The following is a 9,910-nucleotide window of genomic DNA, read 5'->3' as shown; positions in this document are numbered from 1 at the left end:
GGGCCTAGGACTGTAAGATTGCTTAGGTACGCGCTTTCTTGCTCCTTTTAAACTGTAGGTTCCCTCGGGAGGAGTCAATGTCTGACTCATCCTGTACCCCCATTCCCAAACACTCACACTGTACCCAGGACACAATAGTTAATAAATGCTTATGACATAAATGTGTCTTTCCCGTGTTTTTAGGAATTCGCAGTGTGTATTTGACTAACTGTATTTGGGAAATTTTCCATCTTAATACATAATGTTTTGATAATATTAAAAATGTTTACATGACCAAGAACCAAATGGAGACTTCCATGCCCAAGTATACTGGCACAGTTCTCTCTTTTCTTTTATTTAATTCAATTCCATTCTCGTCTGTTGTGTGCTAGGTCTTATGCTCAATCCTTGCCCTCGATGAGCTTAGAGTCTCAGGAGTAAAAGTGACCAACCATCCTGGTTTGCCTGGGACTAAAGGCTTTCTCAAGACATGGGACTCGGTATTGAAATCAGGACAGTTCCAGGCACACCAGGATACCTGGTCATCCTGAATGAGGGAGACATTAGTCAAAAGGCAAATGCCACAGAGGGTGACAACTGTGCTTTGGGAGCTCAAGGTGGGGTGGCCTTATCAGCTGTCCCTTGAAAGATACCTAAGAATCATCCTAATTACCTAAGAAACTGAGCTAATTGGGAATATGATAGGGGCTGGCAGTATTAGTTCTAGGAATTGGAACCAGGGTAAGCAATGTCTTGACAGTAATAGAGAGAGACAGATTCTTTAGAGAAATGTAAGTAGTTTATATTCAATGATTAGTATCAGTTGGCCAAGCCAGTCTGTGCTTGATTATATGAGTGTGTGTGTGTGCGTGTGTGTGCAAGAGAGAGAAAAAGAGAGAGAGAGAGAAAGAGAGAGAGAAGAGAGGCAAAGAGAGAGAGAGGAGAGAGACAAAGACACAGAGAGAGAGAGAATGTGTGCGTTCATGTGTGTGTGTGTGTGTGTGTTTAAAGAGTAGCGGAGCAGTGAGAGAAGGTAGGGAAATTTCAGGCAGAGAGGATAACATATGCAAAAAAAAAACAACCTGACCATGTGCGACGCTCAGCAAACACTTCTGTGTTAGAACATTGAGATGAGACAGGGTGTCACAAGAAATGAGGCTCAGAGAGAGGTTGGACCAAATCATGGAGGACTTATGAGCCTTGCTGGAGTTTGGGTTCATCTGGTAGGTCATGGGGAGCCATTGATTGGTATTAAATAAAGGAGTGATGCGGGCCCCTTTGTATTTTAAATGGATCATTTTGGTCCCTGGGTAAGTGATGGACCTGAGACATCTAGCACAGGCAGCAAGGTGACAACAAAGAGGCTGCAGAACTTACCCAGGGACAGGAGAAAATGGCCTGAGTTGAATAAGACTATGGAAATAGGGAGGACGAGACAGAGTCAAGAGACATTGAGGCCATAGAATCAAGCTTTGGTGATGGATTGGATGGGGCTGGGGCATGGTGAGGAAAAGGGTGAAGTCAAGGATAAAGTCAAGGTCTCTGGCTTGAGCAACTGAGGCAGCTGTCATTCCAGCCATGAACTAGGGACACAGAAAGAAGTGCAGACATGGTGGGGCTGGGGATAGAGTGGCCAAGGGTGAGGCAGGGAAATAAGATTAGTTCAGTTTTACAAGTTGAATTTAAGAGGATTGTGGGGCCTGTGCTCTACCAGGTCAAAGGAGTGAGAGTTAAAAAGCATCAGCTGAAGTAGTTGGCCAGGAGATCCTTGGAGATCTTGCTGAAGTTGCCCACAGTGGAGTGGTGGGGAAAGAAGCCAGTTTGCAATTGACTGGGGAATGAACGGAGGTGGGGAAGTCGACAGAGTGAGTACCGTTTGTAAGAAATTTGGTTGAGGAGTAAGGAGAGAGAGACAGAAGCATAGCAGGAGGAGGGTATGAGGTCAAGGTGCCCTTCAGACCACCTATGTCACAGCTTTGGTCCTTCATGCATGATTATTTATCATCCTGGGCTCCCTGGACTGTGAGATCTTGGAATCTGTCTTTCATCTCTATATGCCAAGTACTTCTTAGCATAATTCTAGCACATAGCAGATAGTAAATGTGTGTGGGATACTAGACAGGAGACTGTCATTAAAAGTGTGAAAATGTAACTAGCTGGAAATTCACATTGAGGTTACTAGAGAACCAGATATAGTTTAGAATAAATTGCTGGCTTTCTAATGTCAGTGACACCTTTCTTGCACAGTTTCAGGTCTTTGAAAAACAGGAGGTAGAAGGGGCTGCGAGTTGAAATCAATACCCATTTTCGCAAAGCTCCTAATTTACAGTAATATTTACTGCCTGGTAATTAACAATAAGTAGAATCTTTGGTAAGGTCCATCATCTATCATAGAAAGTAAATATATACCAGCGGTCAGTCACTCAAGTAAAGTCCAGATTCATCTAGGAAATACTTCTTGGGTAATGAGAAACTGCAGAAAAAATATTTGATGGAGGATATGATGAAAAACAAAAGTTAGACTCCTTATAAATAAAAATTAGGAATCTAGGAGGACTGGCTACAAAACTGATGGAATTGGATTGAGAAACACAGTCAGTGGCCCATCTGTGTTAAGCTACCAGAAAAAAATATAATTAGGCATATGATTTACCCTATCCTTACCCTCTTCCTCTGTTCCCAAAGTCAAGCCCTGTATCCCATAGAGACCTGAGCATCTTTCCCTATCACATGAGTGCTGCTCTTTGAGGCAGTGTGTCTGATGGCAGACCCTAGGTACAGATAGAGTTCTCCTCACTCAAGGAAGAATAAACAGAGGAAAAGAATAACACAAATAAAAATCTACCAAAGAATATTTATCCTGAAGACCCTAATGCCAGTGACCTTTCTTTGAAGCAGTGTGTCCAACAGCAAATGCTCTGAAAATGATTTACTGCAGGAAACAGAAAATTAGAAAGTTACTGAGCATTCTCAATAGAATGCTAAAAAAGAACATCATCTTTTTGAAGAAGGAGCTGGCTTTCTAATATCAGTGAACCTTTCTCTTGTACAGTGCCTTTGTTTTTTGTGTATAAAGCAGATATACATTGACAACAGAATCTCATACAGTGGGAAAGAGGCAAGAATTATAAACAAGTTTAAAATGCAAGACAAAATTTAAATCTACATTGGAGGCAAGAAATGGCAAAATGAGAACAAGAAGATTGAATGAATGAAATGAAGAACAAACTTGAATAGTTCTATCAGGACCAAGAGATTAAAACAATGAGGTACTTTAGAAAACAGCTATGCAGGTCCAATCTAAGGATTATACAAATTTCTGAGGAAGAAACAAGCAAACCTAGAACAAAAGCATTAATCAAAGAATAGTTGGAGATAAATTTCCTGAGCTTAGAAAGATTTCCATTTGTAGATCTGAACAACTCATCACATTTCAGGCCAAACTGTTGGGGAGAGGGATTCAAATTAGCTCCCACCCTAATCTCAGAAAATTATTAACCATCCATACAAACATATCAGATTATCTAAAATGTAATACAAATTTGGAGAGAGAGTTGTGGAGCAGTTCATGTATGGCTTTGAACTAGCATTTCAGTATGAATTTTGTCTAAAGAAGTGGTATAATCTGATTTATGTATGAAAAAGATTACACCAATGTTGATGTGAAAAAGAGACAGGGAGGGAGAAAGTTCTAGTAGAAATTGGGAGATCACTTAGAAGAGCTATTACCATAGCCCAGGGGATCAATGGTGGTAATAGTGATTAGGGTGTCAACTGTGGAGCCAAGAAAATGATCATGTATTTGTGATATGGTTTGGCTCTGTGTCCCCACCCAAATTTCATCTTAAATTGTAATCCCCGGGTGTCGAGGGAGAGACCTGGTGGGAGGTGATTGGATCATGGGAATCGTATACCCCATGCTGTTCTTGTGATGGTGAAAGAACTCTCATGAGAGCTGATGGTTTTAAAAGTGTTTGGCAGTTCCCCCTTTCTCTCTCTCTCTCTCTCTCTCTTTGTCTCTCTCTCCTGCCGCCATGTAAGACATGCCTTGGTTCCTCTTCGCCTCCCACCATGATTGTAAGTTTCCTGAGACATCCCCATCCATGTAAATCTGTGAGTCAATTAAACCTCTTTTCTTCATAAATTTCTCAGTCTCAGGTAGTATCTTTATAGCAGTGTGAAAACGGACTAATATAATTTGGGGTATATTTTTAAGGTATTTGCTGATGGATTATATTTCCTCTATGACAGAAAGAGAAAAGTCAAAGACCACATTAAGTTTGTGGCTTGAAAAATAGGTAAATAAAGGTGCCATTTTCTGAGACAAGCATGCTGAGAAAGGAGCATAGAAGGTGAAAATGAAGAGTTTCCATTTTGGATGCATTAAATTTTGGCTGCTGTTAGACGCATGTATTAGTTAGGGTGATACTAGCTACTGCAACATAAATCCCCATATTTCCATAGCATAAAACAAGCTTCTTTCTCACTCATGCAAGAGACCAATGCAGGTGTTCATGTGCAATGAGAGGATTTCTATATGGTGACTCAAGGATGCAGGCACTTTCCATCTTGCAGCTCCATCCTCCTCTAGGGTATATTGCACTGACAAATGGTAAAGAGAAAATGGGAAAGGCACACAGGCAAAAAATAGCATAACCCCACTTAGATGCAAGGGAGTCAGAAGGTGGAAAAGCTAGTCCTTGGCCAGGTAGCCACTTCTCAGAGATAATTACACCATGGAAGTAAGCACACGAACTTCTGATGTTAAGTCATCTTTTACCTTTCTTGTGACACCTTTCTTTTACAGTTTCAGGTCTTTGAAAAACTAGAGGTAGAAGAAACTGTACAAGAGAAAGGTGTCATGACATTAGAAAGCCACACTTGCAATCTACCTGGCAGTCAACATTTTCACTTGGATGCTTGGTCCACAGAATCCAAGTGAAAATATTGACTGCCGGGTAAAATGTAAGTATGGTAGTCAGAGGTATGATTGGGGTTGGAGATGGAAACTTGGGAGTCATTAGCATGTAGATGGTACATAAAGCCATGGAAATGGAATTAGATCATTAGGTCACACCCTGGGCCTTTTTCCATTAAAGTTGTGTGGGAATGCAGTGATGCTCATAAGTTCCCAGATGGCTGCTTTCCTGTTACAATAGCACCACTCCTCCAAAGAAGAAAAAGCTGCTTATAGTTTCTTGAGTATCCTTCTAGAAAGTTCTATCTATCTATCTATCTATCTATCTATCTATCTATCTAATCTATCCACCCATGCTTGAACACATTTATATGTATATACATACATATCAGTAGAAAATATTTCTACATACATTTATTTGAGATGTATATGCATACCTTTTTAGGTTACAAAAATGGGATCACTCCATACATAACATACGTAACTTACTTTTTGTTTGTATTTAATATATCTTGGACATCTTTGCATAATGGTGCATGTAAGTCTCTCTCTCTCTCTCTGTCTGTCTTTAGTAGCTGCCTAGTATCCTGTGGTATAGATTTATTATAAAACAACCCCCATTAATTGGTAATTTGCTTATTTATTTATGTATTATTTCCAATTCTTTCTACTTTTCCAGTGTTTTCATGAACATTCTTAGTCTTTGTTCTTAAGCAGTAATACAGTATAAGTATACACGCAAGATAAAAAATCTTAGAAAGTAAATGGTTAGGTCAAAGAGTATATACTTAAAAATTGTTTTTTACTATCTATTGACCAATTACTCTCTGAACACATTGTGGCAATATGCATTCCCCACAACAGTATATGAGTGTTTATTAGTTTTATAACCATTTAAAATGTAAGATTGATTTGAATATGCTGATATAGAAATAATATTATTTAAGAATGGGTAGGACAGTCACTATACTATGTATATAAATTTGACTTTGATTCCTGTGAAATATAATTCATATGATAATCTTTAATATGCTAAATTTATTTAATGCAAATCTCATTTGATTCAAAAAAGCATTTGGGGGCGGGCGCGGTGGCTCACGCCTGTAATCCCAGCACTTTGGGAGGCTGAGGCGGGCAGATCACGAGGTCAGGAGATCAAGACCATCCTGGCTAACACGGTGAAACCCTGTCTCTACTAAAAATATGAAAATTAGCTGGGTGTGGTGGCAGGCGCCTGTAGCCCTAGCTACTAGGGAGACTGAGGCAGGAGAATAGTGTGAACCTGGGAGGCGGAGGTTGCAGTGAGCCGAGATCGCACCACTGCACTCCAGCCTGGGCGACAGAGCGAGACTCTGTCTCAAAAAAAAAAAAAAAAAAAAAAAAAAAAAAGGAAAGCATTTGGTAATTCACATTTGAGAAATCTGAACTGGGCTTAAGCAATACTGCATGGCTCACATGAAATCAAATGAATAGAATACATCACTTTGCCTTCCAATGTGACCTACCCAGAAAGCTATATTAAATATATATATTATGTAATAATTGAGATATTTCCTATTTAAAAATGTCTACCGCACTTCTCCCAGGTTTTGTTGCAATGTAAATTTTGTATTATGGTTCTTAGTACATTTTTTCTTGCAGCTAGATCTTCATTAAAGTCAGTCAAGGGCTGCGCTTTTCATGTTATGAATAGGCACTGTAATAATCTAATGCAACTACTCCAAAAATCAGATTCGTAATTAGCTGAACCAACTGATTGGTATGACTTCCTGGATGCTGCTCTTTAATGTTGAACATTTATTTTGTGCTTGAAGGATTTGTTTGTGTGTTTCCTATGTGTGATGAGAGCTTTTCGATAATTAGCTCCTAAGGGATGTTGTATTCCAATAGTTAAAGAATAATTACAGCCTTATGAAAAGTGAAATGGCCTCGGCTTCCTTTTGTTGTGGTTTAATTGTATGCAACAAGTTCAGAAGGTGTCTCATTTCAAATTGTGATAGTGAAGATGTAGCTTTCATTTAAAAAATGTGAATTTGGTAAAATGGCAAATTGGTATAATTTTTAAAACAAACAAACAAATCACCCTATTAAAACAAGCCTTGTGCTATTTCATTAATTCATAATTTTGATTACAAATTAAACTGTGGCAGAGTGAGAAGTTGTAAGGTTATAACAACAATGAGATGGAACTTGATGAAAAAGTTCACATCAAAAGACGTCGGCTGGGGGAATGACGTTGTCATGGGCTATTAATTAAAGCCAACCACAAAAATGAAGAAAAGTAGAATGGCAGGCTAGCTCTCACAGATCATATGGTTTGAGGCAGAAACGAGAATAAAACACGCTAAAAAAAAAAATGTTTTTCTTTAATGCCCTTCCTGTTATTTTTCAAAATTTGGTTTTTGGGGGGTTAAAAACGTTTTACATCAACAATATTAAGAAATTTTTTACTCCAAGAAAATGTGAATGATAAAGGATGTTACTTTACATGATAAAGTAGTATGTTAGTTAGTATTGCTGTGGTAACGCTACATAAGAAGGCACTCCAAAACTCAGTGTCTTAAAATAACGCACATTGGTTTGTCACCCACGCGTTTGTGGGTTGGTTGCAACTTGCCTTGTGGGTTGGAGTCAGATGTGCTCCCCACATCCTTCTTGGACTAATGGCTACCCCCAACCTCATTACGCAAGGCAGAAGCACAAAGGCCAAGCCAGGATGCACAAAAGACCCATAAGGTTTCTGCTAGTCTCATGTCCACCAATCTTCTACTCATCAAAGCAGGTAACATAGTCTAGCCCAAGATCAGTGGGATAGGAAACGTGCAGTGCCTAGAACTCAAGAATGAGGGAAGGAAATACGTGCTAAACAATCATTCACATCATCACAGTAACATGTATGGATCATGATAGTTGAGACTATTTCTCCCATTGATAGGATTTGAGAAGATCCTCAAATGTTTTTACTTCTTTCATCTGTCTTTGATTGCATTGGGTCATACTTAAATTGGAAAATGTTAAAGAAAAAAATAAAATGAGACCATTTTTCTTGCAGAACTAGATGTGGCAGGAAGTCATAAAAAACAATGCTTATTGTGAGGCGAGGTTTGGGTCAATGGAAGTATGAAGTCAATAGAGTTAAAAGAACATCTTCCATCTGTCCACCTTGAGAATCTTCTAGATCAAATGGTGTTATGTGAAAAGTAGACTTGTTCTAAAAATGCTGGAACTTTACCTAAAGTTACATTGTACCCATGCAAAACCTGTCTTGTTTCAAAGCATTCTATGGGATTCCTTATCCCAGCACTGATGAAATCACCAACACAGTTGAGGCAGCCTTGTTGAAGCCATGTGCCTTGGAAATGGTTGCCCTAAGGTGTGGTTTGGGAAGAGAAATAAAGTTGTAGAACTACCCTGGTTAAGAGAAATCCCTATTGAAGAATCACCAATATGTTTTCTACTATTTTGAAGCAGATCATAAAGGAATTCCCAGTCATTCTGTGTTCCTTCAGCAAACAACTGGAAGAGATTCGAGATGTCCTCTGTATAGCCCCCTGTTTTTGTCCAGTACGTAGAGGATGATATTAACAAAGAAATCTCCTTGCTTGCGAACCTCTTTTTGCAAACTGCAATGGCCTCTTGAAAACAGTAAAAATGTTGCCTGGAAGAAAATTTACAGTATGTGTGCAGTACAGCCTCTGCCCCTGCCCTGCCCAGATTTCCTTGGTTCTCGCTATCCCCTGCATTCTGATGGCTTCTTGCAGAGAATATTTCCCAGCTCCTGCAGTAGGCTCAGCCCATGCACCAGGCAGACCCAAAATGCTGGAAAAGGTAATATCTCCAGGGAGGCAGCCCTTAACCAGTGATGGATGGGAGTTGATGTTTAAGCACCAGAGCTTCCTCTCATCCTTTGCTCAGGACAACTGAACAGCACGTTCTATGCTCTCTCCCAGGATTTTCCAGCAGAACTGAGCCCATGTAGCCCACGGCAGCAACCTGCTTGGTAAAGCACTCTTTACTGTCTTCTTTCTATTCCCTGACTCACTTCCCCACTCCTCTACAGGTGCTTCCTGGGATCATCTCCAAAATAAACTACTTGCACCCAACTCCTCATGTCAGGAACTGTTTCAGGAGAAACCCGAGCTAACACACCGTGCACATGAAAACCTTGACATCTGATCTGCTTTTGCCACTTGGTATATAAAGAACCTCAAGATCCTAACTTGCTGCTTTGTCCAGGCAGTTTCACTAGTGTCAAAACAGTCTGCCAACAATGCTGACAGGTGTCTAGTCCTCTGCAGGGAAGAGTCTGTATGTCAGAGCCAGGGTCCTGAGTCACCACTGTTCCAGAGGTCTTGTCAGAAAACAAAAACTGACTGTGAAGACTTTCCCTAATATTTTGAAGTTCCCTAGTTTCTAGGGGCAAGTCTTAATGTGCTTGATTTGACCTTGGCGAAGAAGATAAGCGTCTGTTTTCAAAAAGATTAGGGTGAATTTCTTTATCTCTTGGCATTCTTACCATATTTTTACCAAATGAATGAAATAAATCTAATGCAAGATCCTGGCATCCCTATTATGGAAGCTGTTGCCAAAAGAAAAAAAAAAGCTTTAAGCCCTTTGGCTTTTATATTTTTATTCTGGATGAGGGGCCCAGTGGTGAAGCCACATTTCCTTGGTTTTAAGATACAATCCATTTTAAGATATGCCATTACTTTAATAACAATTCTAATTAGGGAGGGGATGCTGCCCGCATCAAATGGGCTCCAAGAGGCCACCCTTTCTTTGCTCAGAAACGCTAACATGTGCCTTTGGGAACAGAGGAATTATGGGGTGGAACCTGGTCAGTGCTGGTGGAATGACCTCACTGGTACAGTTGACAGTGGCAAATCTTTGTCAGTTCAGGGGCAGATAGAAGTCATTATTGGAAATGTACTTTTGAGCAGAGTTAAAGCTTAGTTTTTGCATTATTTGTGCAATCTGTATCTGTTTCCTTTTGAGGGCAGGGAAAGTGGTTAT

The sequence above is a fragment of the Homo sapiens genome, chromosome 16, assembly GCF_000001405.40.
Source record: "Homo sapiens chromosome 16, GRCh38.p14 Primary Assembly".
Lineage (NCBI taxonomy): Eukaryota > Metazoa > Chordata > Mammalia > Primates > Hominidae > Homo > Homo sapiens.
Note: the sequence above shows the minus strand (reverse complement) of the source record.